The 18154-nt window shown below is 52.8% G+C and overlaps 1 protein-coding gene across 18 annotated transcripts in view, besides 2 other annotated features; it reads left to right on the top strand.

The window, feature by feature from the left end:
* The window catches only part of ADCY5 (adenylate cyclase 5), a 166795-nt gene that overhangs the window by 99128 nt on the left and 49513 nt on the right, over nucleotides 1–18154 (top strand). For 17 of the 18 annotated variants that reach the window (NM_183357.3, NM_001378259.1, XM_011512359.3 and 14 more), the window contains exons 3-4: nucleotides 2060–2181; nucleotides 17288–17399. In NM_183357.3, the coding sequence (NP_899200.1) occupies nucleotides 2060–2181; nucleotides 17288–17399 (234 nt within the window). Of the gene's footprint in view, nucleotides 1–2059; nucleotides 2182–14729; nucleotides 14806–17287; nucleotides 17400–18154 lie in introns of those variants that run through there. The other variant, XM_047447365.1, reaches the window with a different exon arrangement.
* Nucleotides 24–524: an enhancer, noted in NCBI's record as "H3K4me1 hESC enhancer chr3:123068286-123068786 (GRCh37/hg19 assembly coordinates)". NCBI's record gives its function as "activates a minimal SCP1, AML or CMV promoter by ChIP-STARR-seq in naive H9 embryonic stem cells {active_cell/tissue: H9 hESC(naive)}" and the evidence as "EXISTENCE:reporter gene assay evidence [ECO:0000049][PMID:30033119]".
* Nucleotides 5752–6421: an enhancer, noted in NCBI's record as "H3K27ac-H3K4me1 hESC enhancer chr3:123062389-123063058 (GRCh37/hg19 assembly coordinates)". NCBI's record gives its function as "activates a minimal SCP1, AML or CMV promoter by ChIP-STARR-seq in naive H9 embryonic stem cells {active_cell/tissue: H9 hESC(naive)}" and the evidence as "EXISTENCE:reporter gene assay evidence [ECO:0000049][PMID:30033119]".

Below are 18154 nucleotides of genomic sequence, written 5' to 3'. Positions count from 1 at the left end.
AGGCCAGGCTGTGGGCGTGGGCTGATCTCAGCAGTGTCAGGAGGCTTAGAAGGCGACATGGTCTGGTGTATTTTAGGAAAAGCAGTTGCTTGCTTGCAGTGGGAAGGATGGACCAGAGGCAGCAAGCTTGGAGACAAGCAAAGTGATCTGGAGGGTACCCTGGTCATCCAGTCTGGCCCTGAAGGTGGCCTGGGCGGCAACAGGCTGAGGTTTGGGTGGAGAGGGTGCTTCAGCAAGGAGAGGAGCAGCAGCCAGTCTGGGGGTGGCAGGAGCGGGCCAGGCAAGCATGAGGCATAGCAAGGGGGTAGGGGGACATGGGCTTTGCTTTGCAGTGGAAAATAAGGAAGAGTGAGTTCAGCGGGTCTGGAAGAACCCATATGTGATGTGGCTGGTGAAACTAGAAAACCTGTGGAGGTGTTGAGCACAGGTAGTGTTTCAGAGAGATCGGGGCTGTGCAGGCGTCAGGGAGGGCAGAGGGAGGCTGTCGGTCCAGGGTGTCGCGACCAGAATCCAAGAGCCAGGCGAGAACTGCATGTGGGCAGTGGAGGAAGGCACAGAACAGAAAGGACAAGTGTGAGAGCTGTTTCCAGATGAGCAGGACTTCGTCAGTGCTGGACAGGTCCTGCGGCTGAGGGGAAAGGAATGAGTGTCAGAGGGAAAGATCTGAAAAGCAAAAGCCACTTACGTGGGCAGGATGTTGGCACTGGTGCAGCAGAATGGGGCTGTCCCAGGCAAAGGCAGGGAAATTGAAAGAAAAGTGATTGGGGAATGACAATGTGGGAAAGCGAGTGTGGTTTGGGTGTGATGTCAGGGTGGTGGTGGCAAGACATCCAGGTGGGCAGCTGGAGGCTGGCAAGCCATGGACGGGAGGTAGGGATGTGGGAAATGGCTGATATAGCCACCTCTATAGTGGGAACCTTGGCCATGGACTTACTCCCAGAGTGCAGGCGTGAATGGGGCGAGGACAGAGGTGGGACGTGCCATGTTTGGGGCCAGGTGGAGGGAGACGAAGCAGAGATGACATAGAAGCAGAAGAATCTCAGGACCATGTGGGAGGGTGACTCTAGCATCTGGTGCAGAGTGAAGGGCAGGAGAATGAGGAGGGCTGGAGGCAGCCAAAATGAAAGGCTGGGGATGAGCGAATGATGTGCACCAGCCTGATAGGGAGCCTGGCAGGGAGGCAGCTGGGCATCTTGGAGAAGGGCAGGCCCGGGAGAGGAGCTCAGAAAGAGAGCATAGTCCAGACTCCGTAACAGGCTGACGTGAGCCTCCGTGATGTGGCCTGCCCCTCCACTTGCTTCTCTCCCACCTCCCCTGCCACTGGTTGTGACATGGTTTCTCTGAGTCAGTTTGCTTTCCCACTCTCCTGGGCCACTGTCCCCCAGGTGGAACTGGAGCACCTCCTCCCCACCCCATCCTTCCAGTCTCCAGGAAGCCGTCTCTGACTACTCCAGTGGAGATCAGGTGTCCCTGCTCAGTGCCCCCATAGTGGCACCCCAGACCCCCATGACACCGGAAGCTTTCTGAAGGAGGAACCTTGCCTGTCTCACTCTTGGTGTTAACTCACTTGGTCCCCAGAATAGTGCCTGGCACATGGTAGGTGCTCAATAAGTATTTGATAACTGATGGAGTGGATCTCATTTAATGCTCTCAACAACTCCATCCTCATTTTACAGACGAGCAACCTGAGGCTCAGAGAAGTTTGGTAACTTGCCCAAGGTCACGCAGAGTCTCAGGGGACATCCAGGATTCTAACCCGAGGTGCTCAGTACTCACAGGTTCACCAGGAGCGCTTTTGCCCGAGAAATGTGGCGAGGGAGGCGGAAGGATTAGCTGGTGTCCCGGGGAGGGGAGATGGGGGACAGGTATCCTGCACACACATACACACACATGCACAGACACACACACACACACACACACACACACTGTTAACCCAGGAGTCCCGGGAGAGCCTGAGAGGTTTTCCAGGGCCCTCAGGCAGGGGCACAGGTGTGGAGGAGCGAGCACTTGCCAGGCAGGTAGAAGGCGTGGTGATGAAAGCATGTGCTTCCCTCTGCAGGAACGGCTCCTGCTGTCTGTCCTTCCCCGTCATGTTGCCATGGAGATGAAAGCAGACATCAACGCCAAGCAGGAGGATATGATGTTCCATAAGATTTACATCCAGAAACATGACAACGTGAGGTAGGGGTGAAGCTGGGGGAGGAGGATGGAAGGGAGGGAGAGCTGGACCCCTGTGGAGACATCCCACTTCCTTTCAAGTGGGCACAGCCCGACAGGGTGGCTTGGTGACTTTGGAGTGTGTCATCTAGAGCATGCCAGCCCCACCCCTCCAGGTGTGTTAAATGAGTGAATTATCATGGTGTCCCATGGAGCTTTTTTGGGGGTGGGGAGAGGGAGGGACAGTGAGGCTGCAGGGAGAGAATAAAAACAGGAGGAGGAGAAAGGAGGAAGCAACACCAGCCGCTTTGGGGAGGAGCTCCTAGCCTACCAAGAGAGATGGAAAGCATAGACTGGGACCCGAATGTCACCACCATCATCTCATCTTCACCACCATCTGGCAGCTTCCATGCCTCCTAAGCCAGTGCGTCCCAGGCACTGGGCCAGGCTCTGCCCACCTTATCACCAGTCCTCCTGACAGCACTGCAAGCCAGCTACCTTTATCAACACACCCGGTTGATAGATGGCTCATGTATGCTATTTACTTCATGTATACTCTATTTGAAATTTTCTGTAATAAAAAGTTTAAAGAAAAAAACACATCACCAAGAAACAACTGGACAAATCCAGAACGTGGGACAGTCTACATTGTGTACTCTTTAAAAAGCCAGTCATGGAGAAAGAAAAAAGGGTGGGGAATGCATTCTAGATTAAAAGACTCAAGGGCTCAAGGTCCCCGAGCCAGCAGTGGTACAGCCAGGCTGCACCCAAGTGGCCGCTCCAGAGCCCACGCTCCTTTCACTGCGTGTTTGCCGCCTCCCTAGACAGAAGCTGCTGACAGCAGGGACGTGCAAACAGATGTAGATTAATAGAGTGCAAAATCTGCTTATGAGTTCCACGGGGACACGAAGCGATACAGTGGCCTTCATCCAGCATGGCTTCCTGGAGAGCCTGATAATCCTCCCATATGCCCAGAAAAGGAGCTGCTGTGTTTGCCTTCCGGAGAGTTCCTTCTCCCCAGGCAAGTTTCCCTAGGACTCACGAGTCCTCTGAGGTTGGTGTAAAGAGGACTCTTTGGAGGCTTGGCCTGCGTTTTCAAGAAAGTGATTAAGTGAAATAGTGCAAATTATCTCTCTCTCTCACACACACACACACATACACACAGAGAGAGAGAGAGAGAGAGAGAGAGAGAGAGAGAAGGTGAGGCTGACAGCAGTAGGGGTGAGGGAAGCACTGTTTTCTTCAGGCAGAATGAGAACTGCCCAGTTCCCAAGTCTGCCCTGGGATCCGAGACTGTGGATCCTGACTGCATGTCTTCCATCTGTCTCTCAAAACTGAGACTCTAAGCCTTTAGGAGAGACATGTATCTGCATAACACATTGGCCCCCAGTTTTGGGGGTCTCCCAACCCCCCATGCTTCTCTGTCAGGTAGGGACAGTGTAGGCAGCAGTCACCTTGGTCTCCCAGGAAGAAGGCTGCCCCTGGCTGAATCTCCACATCCGGGAAGGACCTGAGGGGGTTGCAGCTGAGCCCAGCTCAGGGAAGTGGAGTTGGTGGCCGGACTTCCGGGCTTGAGCCCTTCAGGCAGTGCAGATGTGCCATTTCCCTGCTGCTTCTCCCACCCACCTTGGCCCTCCCATGGTGGAACGATCACTAGCAGTGAGAGGTCACACCTACGCAGAGCTTGCCTGAACCAGCCACCGCCCTACGTGCGTTCATCTACTCACTTAAACCCACAGCAAAGAAGAGGGCTGTACTGTGATTATCTCCATTTTACAGGAGAGAAAACTGAGGCACAGAGGTGAAGTAACTTGTCCTCTCGTTGGTTAAGTGGGAGAAATACCCTGGAACGCTTTCTGGTACTAGTTTTTACCCAGCCTGACTACCAGACAGATGTTTTTACGTGCCCAGGAGAAAGGAGTGTGTCCAAGGAATCTGGGAAGGAGGTCTGGGGAGCCCTCAGGCTAACAGGAGACTCAGAGGAGAGGCAGGAGAGAGATTTGGTTTCCTGTGTGTGTGTGTGTGTGTGTGTGTGTCTGTCTGTCTGTCTGTCTGTCTGTCTGTCTGTCTCTCTGTCTCTGTGACTGAGGAGCCACCAGGGGCCTTTCCTGTCTGATGGCAGTTCTTAAAATCCAGGGGTCTCCCCCTTAGGACATGTGAGGAAACAGACTTCCCTATTAGAACAGATCCCATAGGCTCAGGTTTAAAGTGGGAAGGGGTAGCCCACCAAGTGGTCCCAACATATACGAGCCAAGTCACTGAGCTCCCCCTTCTGGAATTTTCTCTCCTGGTCCTGTCTTTACCACCTCACTGGCCCAGGCATTGTCCCTGGCACCGCATGGACAAAGGTGCTTTCCTTGATTGCTCTCAGCTCCGCAGAGCTTTGTGCAGGTTTCGCTCATTCAGTGGAACACAAAGGAAATCCAGAAAATTTGCTGCTCAGAAGCAGTCTAGCACCTCCAGCACAGCTTCCCAGCCTGCCTCGGCCAACACAGCCGGCTCACCGGCCACCCCTGCGCCTCGGCCCAGTTCTTGCCCTCTCTCACCATCTCTTCTCCCACTCAGCAGGCATCTTCCTATTCCTCGTTCCACGGTGCTGGCTCTTGGGCCCCCAGCCCTCCAGCAAGGGTGTTTGGTCAGAGGGGCTGACTCAGGCCTCTTCTACGGTGACTGCCCTTGGGGTGACTCCTCCCTCTGTCTCTCTCCCATGGAGGCAGTGACTTTGGGTTGATAAAAGAACACTGCCCTAATCACAGAGTGGCCTGCATGTCAGACCCCTGCCACAGTGGGGGTATTTCTCTCTGGGATGTGCCAGGATCAATGACAGCAATCAGGAAAGAGATGAAAGGAGAGAAAAATCAAGATGCTATAATTTTCATGGGGACAGAGACGATTCTGACTCTGACATCGCCAGGGACAGAGGTGGCTGGTACACATCAGAGGCCAACTGCAAGCAATCATATGCAAATGTCCCTCTGGGGCCTCTTTCCCTGTTACATCAGCAGCACTGGTTGTAGCCCTTGGTAGAAACACAGTGCTTGCTCTGGTCTCTGTTTTGGGGTTGAACTTTTGGCTTGGGTTGGTGGTTAAGTAGGAGATGGGGGGTGACATCATAGTTTAAAAACACCCCTTGGGGCTGGGCTCATGGGGCGGGGCACAGTGGTTAGGCCTAGGCGCTGGGGTTAAGCAGTTCTGCACATTGCCCCTACTCTGCTGTTTCCTGGCCATGTGACCAGGACAAGTTACAAGCATTGAGCCACTCTGAACCTCAGTTTCCTCATCTGCGTAATAGGATAGGAAGAGTACCTACTTAATAGGGTTGCAAAGAGTAAATGGAATAATGTGGGGAAAGTGCTTAGCATAGTATCTGGCACATAACAAGTGTTCGGTAATTGTGAGCTGCCATTATTATTGTTACTGTTATTTTTATGATTATGATCACACTCATATCAACAAAGAAAGGCCTGGGGATTCTCTAGTTGGCGAATGGAGGGTGATGAGTCACATTCATCAATTCTCTGCAGAGTTGTAGTATTTAGAGAGGGTGATGACATGCTGTTCTCTAGCCCCACTGAGAGCAAGGCCACAAGAAAAATAAATCAACTCCACAGCATGACAGGCTGGGCCTGGATCTAAGGAAGAGGAAGAGACTGATGGGGGTTTGGGGAAAAGAGTTTGTCTTGGATAGGGCGGGGTGTCAGGCAGGGGCCACCACTGTCCATGGCCTCATTCTCCCCTGGCCCTGAGGAGAATAGTTGTGCAGCACACACCACCCCGGGGCGCAGCCAGGGACTGGCCAAGGAGCCTGTAGGATGTTTTGATGCTGAGCCACCACTGGCCGTGGGCAGACGCAGGCCAGAGGCCAGGGGACCCCTGGAGACCCCGGAGACACTTAGTTGTCTCCCCTGTCTGACGTGTGGTGACAAATGGAAATGTTTCAGCCTTTCTGACGGGGCGGGGGGTCAGCTGGAGCCAGGGCCCATGCTGGGATGTCCACCAGTGGCTTGCAAGCCCTCCTGCCTGTCCTCCCCCACCCCAGATACCAGCACTTGCTGCAGCTGACAGCGCCAGGGCTGGGGGAGCTGTGCCCTCCCCACACCTGGGAGGGACAAGGGCCTCTGGGACATGCCAGCAGAGGCATTCTGGAGGGAGGGACAGCTCCTGGAGCTCTGCCTGGGGAGGGGAGAGCTCAGTCAGCCTCAGCCTTCTCAGCCAGAGAAGGCGCCATACCACGTGGGTCACAGCAAAGGTAGATGCAAACAGACCTCGGCATCAGCAGCTCACCCTTGCCCAGGAGTCAGTGGAAGGGACCAAGATGAGCACCTGTGTTAAGCAGACAGGTCCACACCCAGCTCTGCCGCCTGGTGGCTGTGGGAACTTGGGCAAGGCACCTAATCGGAGCCTCAGTTTCCTCACCTGTAACATGGGGTGGGGATGGTCCTCAACTGTAACATGGGATGGCCATTCACTCATCCATTCAGCTAGTGTGTGAACTCTGCCTCATCAGTGGGGACCACCAGCCACATTGCAGGACACTCAGCTACAGGCGGGCAGTGTGACATGGATTAAAGTACACATCATCACTGGCATCATGAAGCTCATCTTCTGTTAGAGAAGACACTAAGCAATGAATAATTAGTCAGCTGAGTTTATCACATTCTTGTGGGAGCTAGGGTTTAGTGACCAGGGGACACAGACTTCACAGGGTATTAATGTTAGACAACGTACTGCTCTATTGTTCTGTTATCATTGTGATAAAAGGCACAGAGGAGCAGCATCCGTAAGAGGGTGCCCAGCTAGCTAGCCCAGGACTCCTTGCAGGGCTGCTGGGAGCTGAGGTGAGGTAGGGCATGGAAGGTCCCCAGCCCCGCGCAGCGCAGGAGGCTGCAGACTGATTGCCCTTGAGGCAGGGTGGACGACCAGAGAGTCAAGGTCAGGTAACTCAACACCCCAAAGGTTTCAGGGGCCAGAGAACGCCCCAGCCAGGCCTGAGAGGGCTCTGAAGGATTCTCTGCTTTCACAGGAGCTCCTTCTTACTGTGGATGACCCTGCACTGACTGGTCTGTGCCTGAGCTGGAGCCCTGAGGTTTTAAAGGTCGTAGGTGTTGGGTGGGTGAGAGATCATTCCAGACTCTTCTTTGTGTGAAGGGCGAGAAAGCTGTCTCCTCTAGTGGGTGCTGGTCCTTTGCCTAAGAAACATTCCCCGCAGGGCCCCAGGGTTCAGGATGGGGCACGGGTTGGGGGATCTTGGTTCACCAACTTGGATCAGGCACCCGAGTCCTGTGGATCTGCAGCCAGGGTCCCGGCAGAGGGGCTGCCAAGTCTGGTGTGGCAATGAGGTAGTCAGCCCCGCTCCCCACACATCAGGGGTGGGGCAGGGTCTTGGGGAGAGATCCCCTGTCTCCTCAGTCTTTCCCCAACACCTCCCACTTTTAAGGTTATTATCTCCTCTCCTGTCTCCTTCAAGGACTTGGCTGCATTCCCCAGGTTGCTCTGGTGTCTGGCTCTGCTGCAGTGTGGTTCTGAATTATAATGACCACGCGACAATGTCCGAGATACTCAGATACCTGTGGGCGGATTGTGCACCCTGTAGGCAGAGGGTGGAAAATGTTTACCTTCCACTCACACCCTCAGCCAACAGACCACATGAGGAGGGGCCGTGAACATCCTGCATTCCCGTCTCAAACCTGACATGAAGAAAAGTATTCTGGGCCGGCCACGATGGTTCATACTTGTAATCCCAGGCCCAGAATACTGGGAAGCTGAGGCAACAGGATTGCTGGGGCCCAGGAGCCTGAGGTTACAGCGAGCCAAGATCTTGCTGCTGCTACTCCAGCCTGGGCAACAGAGCGAGACCCTGTCTCTATTTTTTTTTAAGTATTCTGAACTCTACTCCCGTACCAGTTATAGATATAAATGGTCTTTATGTTATTATTTTAGTCATTCCACAAACATTTACTGAGCTGCTACTATATACAGCCTGCCAGTATGAAAAAGACACTGTCTCTGCTCCTTAGGGAATATCCAGCCCTCACAGTGAGGGAGTTAAGTGCTATGGGAACAGCAGCTTGACAGCCCAGGGGGCCCTGTTGGTGGAGTCAGTAGGGTTGGGTCTTTAAAAAAAAAAATTAATGGATTATTTTAGTTGTGATAAAAATACATAGCATAAAACTCATCATCTTAGCCATTTTTAAATGTACAGTTCAGTGGCATTAAGTACATTCAAATTGTTGTGCAACCACCATCACCACCGTCCATCTCTGGAACTTTTTTTATTTTCCCAAGCTGAAACGGTATACCCATTAAGCGCTAACTCCCCATCCTCCCTCCCCCAAGCTCCTGGAAACCATCATTCTATTTTCTGTCTCTGTGATTTTGACTACTCTAGGTAGCTCATGTATGTGGAAACATATAGTATTTGTGCTTTTTGTGACTGGCTTATTTCATTTAGCATGATGTCTTCAAGGTTCTTCCATGTTATAGCATGTATCAGGATTTTCTTCCTTTTTAAGGGCTGAATAATACTCCATTATATGAATATACCACATTTTGTGGATCCATACAAAGTGTCCATTGATGGACACTGGGTTGCTTCTACTTTTTGGCTATTGTGAATAGTGCTTCTAGGAACATGGGTGTACAAATATTTTTTTCATATCTGTGCTTTCAATTTTTTTTTTTGAGATGGAGTCTCACTCTGTCACCCAGGCTGGAGTACAGTGGCATGATCTTGGCTCACTGCAACCTCTGCCTCCTGGGTTCAAGCAATTCTCCTGCCTCAGCCTCCCTAGTAGCTGGGATTACAGGTGCACACCACCATGCCTGGCTAATTTTTGTATTTTTAGTAGAGACGGGGTTTCACCATTTTGGCCAGGCTGGTCTCAAACTCCTGACCTCAGGTGATCCGCCTGCCTCAGCCTCCCAAAGTGCTGGGATTACAGAAGTGAGCCACCATGCCTGGCCTGTGCTTTCAGTTTTGGTGGGTGTATATCTAGAATGGCATTGCTGGATCATACGGCGATTCTATCTTTAGCTTTTGGAGGAACTGCCATCCTGTTTTCCAGAGGGGCTGCACCATTTGACCTTCTTCCCAGCAGTGCACAAGGGTTCGAATTCCTCCACATCCTTACCTGGGATTGTGTTCCAACAAAAGACCTCAGTTTGCCTTAATTGGTGGGGACTGGAGCCAGCAGCCAGCAAGAACTTACTATTTTAGCTCTCTGGACTCAAAATGAGGGGCCCTGTGGGAGATAAGAAGGGAGGGAAGACAGAGCAAAGAGGCGCTGACCAGTTGAATTTGCCCGGCTATGTCTTTGAAACAGCTGGAATCAGCTGTTATGTATGATTACGATTCTAATAAAAGTTTAGACATAAGAAGTATTATTCTGGGCTTGGGTAAGTCAAGGAAGACATCATGAAGATGGAAGGGTTAGAATCAGGCCCCAAAAGAAGAATGTGATTTGTTTTTTACCTTTTAAAAAATAAACACTTTTCTTTTTTATTCTACTTTTTTTTTGAAACAAAGTCTCAGTCTGTCACCCAGGCTGGAGTGCAGTGGTGTGATCATGGCTCACAGCAGCCTAGACCTCCTGGGCTCAAACAGTTCTCCCACCTCAGCTCCCAGTAACTCGGACCCCAGGTGCCTGCTGCCACACCTGGCTGATTTTTAAATTTTTTTTGCAGAGACAGGGTCTCACTATGTTGCTTAGACCGGCCTCCGACTCCTGGGCTCAAGTGTTCCTCCTGCCTTGGCCTCCCAAAGTGCTGGGATTATAGGCATGAGCCACTGTGCGTGGCAAAAAATAAACATCTTTATTATGTGAAGAATATATGTTCTTTGTAGAAAAATTGGAAAATAAGAGCAGTATGGAGAAGAAAAAGCACTCATAGACTCCCCCCTGAGGTCACTAACTATTGCTAGGTCTTGCAGTTTCTTCTTCCTTTTGTGTGATTTTCCTTCAGGAAGCATTTCCCTAAATCTTTCTAGACTTTCTAAACAGAATGTCAGTAGGTGCTATGGGGTGTTCCATTGTATGTACAGTAGGGGTAGGATTTGGGTAGGCAGAAACGAGAGGGGTTTGGGTGGGTGGGAGGGGGCCTGCAGGAGGCCCTTAGTCGAATCTAGGACATGCCTCGACCTAGGACCCCTGGACCCAGTCCTGACAGCCCCTTGTCTTGGTTTCCACTTGCTGAAGAAAGGAGTCCTGTTGTCCTTGTGAGAGTGGAGAGAGCACGGTTGTCCCAGGGCAGGCTCTCCCTGTTGGTGGACTTTGTGCAGGCATTCTGTGTCCAGCAGGCTCCCATAGGCCTTTCCCCCTTTCCCTTTCCCAGCCTGTGCCCCTGGATGGGCCTGTGGCTGCTGCCAGTTCACATGCCCCTCTCTCATCTTTTTTGTGCCACTCCTTGGAAAACAGCCCTCTGGTGTCTGACCTCAGCCCAGTGTTAATAAGACCACACCTGATTGTGCTAACTCCCCTAAAGGACATGAGTGACTCCTTGCTCATCTTGTACCTTACTAGGGACATGTGAGCCCAAAGGATTCTTCAGGTTGGATGATGGGGGGCAAATGGAGGGGGCACGCTGCAGGGGACAGCACTCTTGGTCAAAAAGAGACCACTGGCCCATCCAGAGGTGTGGCCACTTCAGCCTCCCCAGCCCACACTGGACACTTCCGGGTACTTCCCCGGCACCTTCAGCTCCCAACTTCCTGGGAGTTGGGCTGAGACCTTGCCATACTCCCTTCCCACCATCCACCACTCAGCACAGTTCTTGATGTGGTCCTGTAGCTCTGACGATGCCAGGGGCTGCAGGAGATCAGAGGAGCTGGTGATTAGCACTACAGGCCCCCCTAGACCACTAGAAAAACTCAGCACCTGGGTGTCCAGGGTGCTGCAGGATGTGCACAGGAGCAGGGCCAGGCTCTGACAGCTTCATAAAGTCATGGGCCTGTTGGCAGCAAGATGGAACAACCACGAGGAAATGCACTTCACCAAAAGTGCACGTGGTTTGGAAAGCTGAGCCAAAGCTGCTGTGGAGGGCTGAAGGGCCTGTTGTGGTAACTGGGACTCTGTCTCCCACTCTTGCCCCTGGAATAGAATGCAGGAGACTGTGAGTGATGGATGGCAGGCAATTAGGGAAGCGTGCACAGCCAGGGTGGCCCTATCCCAGTTCTGTGCACCCGCCATGAGGGCCTGATCCTGTTCCCAAGAGGAGCTCTCAGATGGGAGCTAATAGATGAATTAGCACCTTCCTGCACGTCTGGGCCAGCGCTGAGTTGGGAAATGGCCTTCAGAGTTACTCCGGGGCAGATCAGGAAATCCTGGCCAGCAGAACAGACAGTCTGCTGTAGGGTAAACCTTGTAAAACCCAGGAGCCTGCAGAAGTGACAGTCATTAAGCAGAATCCTCCCCCAAAGCTGCAGAGAAATGTGACTTTGTCTCTGACAGGAGGTGGGGGAATGTGGGGGTGGCAGGATTTATATAAATGTGTGGTGAGGCTTTGGGGGCTTCACAGTCAGGGCCTCAGCAGCAACCTTGCCTGGGTTTCCGCACACCTGGCATAGATGCCTTGCTTTGAGTGGCTCTTTCCTGGTGGGTGGTGACCTGCCCCTCCCTGGTTCCTCAGCAGCTGGCCAGGAAGAGTAGATTCCCAGGAGGCTGCAGGGAGGTGCAGGTTTTCAAAGGCACGTGGAGCTCCTCACATATCAATGTTGTTTCTCATGTCTCCTGGCACACAACCAGAGGCCACTCATGTCCCCATGTCCCTGGTACCTGTTCAGCCACTGGTTCCGTGCATATGGCTGGGAGCGTCTGCTGGGGGACAGGCCGTGGACTTCATGGGCTCCTGTCTCAGGTGACATGCTTGAGACTCCAAGAGGCTTTGTGGGACAGAAAGAAGAGCTCACAATTTGGAGTTACTAGTTGTGTCTCTTGCTTTGGAAACAGGAAAGTTTCCTTCCTTTCAACAAATAAGTATTAGGCACTGTTGTGGGTTGAATTTTATCCCCCTAAAAGAAGATACATTGAACCCCTGGTACCTGTGAATGTAGTTTTATTTGGAAGCAAGATCTTTGCAGATGAAATCAAGTAAAGATGAGGTCATACTGGAGTAGGATGGGCTCCTAATCCAATAGGAATGGTGAACTTGTGAGAAGAGACTGCCTTGTGAAAGCACAGACACACAGGGAGAAGTCCTGGTGAGGACCAAGGCAGAGACTGGAGTGATGCGGCTGCAAGCCCAGGAATGGCGGCTGCCTCCAGAAGCTAGGAATACACAAGGAGAGATTCTGTTGAGTTTCAGCGGGAGCAGGGCCCTACCGACTCCTTGATCTCAGACCTCCAGCTTCCAGAACCACGAGACAATAAAAATCTGTTGTTTTCAGCCACTTGGTTGGTGGTGCTTTGTTACAGCAGCCTGAGGAAACTACCGGGGGCACCTTTCATGTCTGGGTGTTGTGCTGGGTGTCAGGCAGGGTGCAGAGCAGAGGCCAAGGTAGGCATGGCCCGCCGCATCCAGGCCGTCATTCAGCTGCTTGTTTCCTAAGGGCTGGGTCGTAGCCGTGAATCAAGTAGATAAAATCTCTCCCTCAAAGAGTTTACATTTGAGTGAGAAGAGACAGACCGGAGCATAATAATAAACAACAGTAATACACAGCATAGTCAGTGGAGAAAAATATGGTGGAGAAGGGAGATAGACAGATGGGAAGGGTTGTAAATTTAAATGAGGTGGTAGAAGCTTTCTTGAGGCAACCTTTAAACTAGTGTGGTGGTTCTCAACCCTGGCTACATAGTGCAGTCACCAGGGAAGCTGAAAATAAAACAGAAAAAGACAATCAACAGCAGAGCCCACCCCAGACGATTAAGTCAGAATCTCTGGGGCTGGGGGTAGGGGGCCTCTCCAGGTAAGAGCTCCCCAGGTGGTTCTACGAGATGCCTGGTCCCAGGACCATATGGTCTAGTGTGACAAGAGTTGCCATGGAAGAATGCGCTTGCCAAGGTCCAGCAGGGTCATCTGTGGAGAATGAGTTGACCACAGGCCTGGCCATCCAGTGCACGGGTGGGCAGAGGCCTGGCCCACCTGAGTGGCTGGGTCAGCCAGGCAGGCACAGGAGGTTGGAGTGCAGGGGAGCCCCTGGGACCACATGTGTCTGCCTTGTGTGTCTGGGGCGCCCCACCCTCCCTCTTCTCACCTCCTCTGCTCTTCCTGGTGCTGTGTGTTACTCTGCTCGGTGGCAGTCCTACCTCTGCTAGATTAGGGGACTTTTTCCTTCCTACCCCGGGGGCATCTCCAGCCCCCAAAGCCAGGCCTTTGCTGCATAGCCTCAGGCTCGGGGTGGACCAGCCACTGGTCGTGCTGCCTGCCAGCTTTGTGTTTGAAGTACTGGTGTTGGCCAAGGGGATACTCACTGAACATGCTCCTTGACTCATGTGCAGCCAGTCTGGACCCCAGCTTCCCTTGGTTTTGATTTCCTGAGAGATGAAGAAGAATTTCCAGAACAACTATGGAGTGGGTGCTTTCACAAACTGTGGGAGAGACCTCCTCCTTCTCCCTGGGTGGAGGGGGCAGGTGCCTGGGAGGCAGGGAGGCGGAGGGTGGGCCAGGATGGGGTTCTGCAGGCACCCTGCCCCAGGCATGCACACGCCAGCATAGTCTACCTCTGGGCCAGGGTGGTGGGCCCACCAGCCACACCAGATACCGGGCATGAGAGCTTATGGAGAATCCAAATTCCCTTTCATTTTCTGGGCCCATCCCACAGCTGCACACGCTGGAGCAGCTCTCTGCTGTCCTGAGTCCCCTGGCCTGGCAGGATAGGGCCTGTCCTCTCTGCTCCACCTCCTCACCTTTTCTTCTCTCCCTCTCATTTGTTCCATCTCTTGTCCCTGTCCCCATTTCTCCCACTCTGACCTCACTCTTACAGTTGCCTTGGTTGTTCTATTGAAGTGGCCAGAGGAGCCAGGATTTGGGGAAACAGCAGTGGTTGGGGGCTGCCCTCCTGTGCTTCTCCTGGGAGGTGGGACAGCCTGGCTGAAGCCTTGGGATGCACTCCCTGGTGGCCCAACCTGTTTCCACAGGCCCTGTGGAAAAAAAGAGGTTCTCTTCTTGTGAGCTGGTGAGAAGCTGCTGAGAGTGACCCCTCTCAGGGGGGTCCTGTACCTGTCCGGTACCACAGCAGCAGCTCCCAGGGGTCCTCCCACCTCCCTCACAGTGCCAGGGTGTTGGATCATACCTTTACGCATTTAAGATGTCTGTGGGGCCTACAGACAGCATCATCTTGATTGGTTCAACTCCTAAAGTGTGGAGCCAGTGCCTGTGTGGCCTTGGCCAGGTGACTTTTCTGTGTCCTCATTTCCTGACGGGGTGGTTATGAGGTGCGAACGAGTTAATATTTCTGTGAGCTTAAAATAGTGTCTGACTGTTTTAAAATGTACGTTTTATGATGGTGAGGCCAACAGATCGGGAGAGGACTGCTGCTAAGATTGTCACTCACAGTTCCCACGAGGAGGAGACACACCACGCAGAGGCCAAGGGGGAGGCACCAGGGCAGTCAGGAGGCCGAGGGAGCAGGGCCCTTTATTGTGGTTTGTGCAGGAAGGAAGGGTAGCAAGGCAAGTGCTTGGCTGGTTTGAAGAATGTCTTTGCGCTGGCTCGGTATGTAGGGGCTGTCCCAAGTTGCCTGGGACTCCAGTGCCTGTCCCTGGGGTGGCGAGGGCAGGGGTTGTCGTCAGCAGTGGACTCTGGGTTGGTTGGTTTGTGTGTGAAAGGTACACCCTAAGGCAAGTTGTTTACTGTCTCTGGGAATTGGCTTGTCTTGGGAGGCACCAACTCTCGGGAGCCTTGGATGTCAAAGCATGGGAATATAAAGACAGGCTTAGTAAAGAGTACCATGTTCCAGTTAGCTGACAGCAGGGATAAATGAGCAGTATGTGAGGTGTTGGATTTGCTGATTAGCCCAATCAACCATTCCACACTGTGGATACGTGACATCACATCACTTTGTACCCACCCCATAAATATATACAATTATCATTTGTCAATATTTAATTTATTTATTTATTTATTCATTATTATTTGAGACAGTCTAGCTCTGTCACCCAGGCTGGAGTGCAGTGGCACTGTCTCGGCTCACTGCAACCTCCGTCTCCAGAGTTCAAGTGATTCTCCTGCCTCAGCCTCTTGAGTAGCTGAGATTACAGGTGCATGCCACCACGCCCAGCTAATTTTTGTATCTTTAGTAGAAATGGGGTTTTGCCATGTTGGCCAGGCTGGGCTCGAACACCTGACCTCAAGTGGTCCGCCCACTTAAGCCTCCCAAAGTGCTGGGATTACAGGTGTGAGCCCAATATTTGATTTAAAAAGACATGCTTAATGTACCAATACACATTTTTAGAATAAAAGGACAAAATATGTTTAGTTCAACATCAATTTTAAAACTGAAACATGGTTCTGGAGCCTTAGGAGTCCCGAGGTGCCTGGGAAGGAGCACAGACCTTGGAGGAAGAATCCTGCCACGCCGCTGTCTCTGGCTGCTCTGAGACTTGGCTCCCGTCTGTGAAATGGGGACACTGACCCCTCACTTGCAGGGCTTTTGCGCGGACTCAGTGAGATGACATGTTGGAAGCCTCCCGCTTAGCTCCTGGCTGCCAGGAGCATCTCAGTACATGAGAGTTTTTAGATTTTTGTGTCCCTTTTAAGAAAAATAAATTCAGGGGCCCTTACAGATTCTGGTCCTGGGGACTTCCCTTCCCATTTCAAAGGAAAAAGAAAATGTTTTCAACTTAGGGAACACAAGCCACAGGGACGGGTGAAAGATCTATCACCAGCTGGTGCACTGAGGAACTGGGAAGGAGGAATTGGGGGCTTCCAGGGACGCTGACGGGCTGTGTCTTCCTTTCTCCTCCCTGGGTCTCTTTTACTGTGTTTCTTGTAGGGGATAGAGGACTCCCTCAGGATGGAGGGCTTGGGGCTAGAGTCCTTTCTGTGTGGGATTGGGAAGTCAGAGTTTGCAGGGCCATCATTCTGGCCTGAAATGCCTTCCAGAGCAGAGGTATAAAAGGCTTCTCTTCCCCAGGAGCAGGCCCAGTGCCCTCGAGGTGTGCTCAGAGGTCAAACGGGCAGGCCTGAGAGATGACTGGGAGTTGGGGCCTGGCCCCCTGTCCCGCACCCTCCTGAGGCACACACCCAGGCCTCACGCCCCTCCCCTGCCTTCCTCCTGGGCTGGGGGAGGGTGCCGTTAGAGCACAGAAGGAGGATAGCAGCAGAAAGAGGCAGCGTCCTCGGCCCTCCAGTGCCAGGGCCTTTGTCCCCTGCCCAGCAGCCGCGTGGAGCCCCCAGCACTCTTGCTGGCTGGCAGCCCTCTCAGGCCCAGGGAGCTCCAGGCCGGGCCCTGGCCATAAGCCCTGCCTCTCCTCCCTCATGGAAGTCTGTCTTGGTCTGTTCAGGCTGCTCTAAGAGAATACCAAAGAACGGGGGCTTACAGACAACAGCAGTGTATTTCTCACGGTTCTGGAGGCTGGAAGTCTGGGATCAGGGTGCCAGCATGATCAGAGTCTGGCAAGGGCCCTCTTTTGGGTTGCTGACGGCCACCTTCTCATATCGTCACGAAGTGGTGAGCAGAAAGCAAAGAAGCAAGCTCTCTTGTCTCTTCTTATAAGGGCACTAATCCATTCGTGAGGGCTCCACCCTTGTGACCTCATTATCTTTCAAAGGCCCCACCTAATACCATCACATTGGGCATTAGGATTTAATGGAACCAGGTGTGGTGGCTCGTGGCTGTAATCCCAGCACTTTGTGAGGCCAAGGTGGGTGGATTGCTTGAGCCCAGGAGTTTGAGACCTGCCTGGACAACATAGCGAGACCCTGTCTCTACCCAAAAAAAAAAAAAAAGTTAGCCAGGTAGGGTGGCAAACTCTTGTAGTCCCAGCTACTTGGGAGGCTGAGGGGAGAGGATCCCCTGAGCCCAAGAAGTCGAGGCTGCAGTGAGCCTTGATCACACCACTGCACTCCAGCCTGGGCAATAGAGCAAGACCTCTTCTTAAAAAAAAAGAAAAGAAAAAAAAGATGTAATGTATGAATTTGGGAGACACAAAGATTCAGCCTATAGCAGGGTCTTCCTCCTCTGCCTGTCCCCCAGCATCCTGTTTGCTGACATCGAGGGCTTCACCAGCCTGGCGTCCCAGTGCACTGCACAGGAACTGGTCATGACCCTCAACGAGCTCTTCGCCCGCTTTGACAAGCTGGCCGCAGTGAGTCACCCTGAGCCGGGGGTTGGGGTGGCCTGACCTGGGCTGTTGAGGGAGGCTGCTGTGGTCGAGGACCTGCTGAACCCCAGGGATGGGCATGTGCCTGGGTATATCCTGCTGAGCAGAGCCTGCTGGTGATGGGCAGAGGGGACCCTTAGGCTGCGGCTGTGTCCTCACGCCCTGCGTGGGCCCTGGAGACACACTTAGCTGGAGTTGCTTTCAGCACTGTCGCTGACCACAAGCGAGAGTGTAGGGAGCCCTCCATGCCCCCCATCCTTGGAAGCGGGTGGTGAGGCCTGCCGGTCACACTGCCCAAACCCCAGGGGAATAAGCTGTTTGTCTGGGGCATATTAGGGGCCATCAAGCTACATTCCTGATGAGATTGGCCAGACTGATAAGAGAATGAGTCTGAATCCCCAGCTGGCCTGCAGGCGGCTGTGTGCCATTCCCTAGCGGCATCCAGAAAGAGGACTCTTAAACGTTTGGATAAATTGGAAGTAACACTCCATGGCCGGGAGTGGTGAACGACACGTTCATTCCTTAGGCCCCTATTCACCCCTCCATTATCCTTTCCCAGCTCTAGGCCTTTGTAGAGTGATTAAATGTCAGTGGCCACTGACGGGTGGACACATTCCCCTTGGCCCACACAGGACGCCAGGCCGGGTTATTGATGAGAGGCTGGTGCCGTCAGTGCCAGTGCCAGGGCTTCTCTGGGGGCTTCCATGGTGGAGCGCATATACTTACCTGTGGATTTTGTC

This window comes from Homo sapiens, chromosome 3 (genome assembly GCF_000001405.40).
Source record: "Homo sapiens chromosome 3, GRCh38.p14 Primary Assembly".
Taxonomy (NCBI): Eukaryota; Metazoa; Chordata; class Mammalia; order Primates; family Hominidae; genus Homo; species Homo sapiens.
Note: the sequence above shows the minus strand (reverse complement) of the source record. Positions and strands in the feature narration are given on the sequence as shown.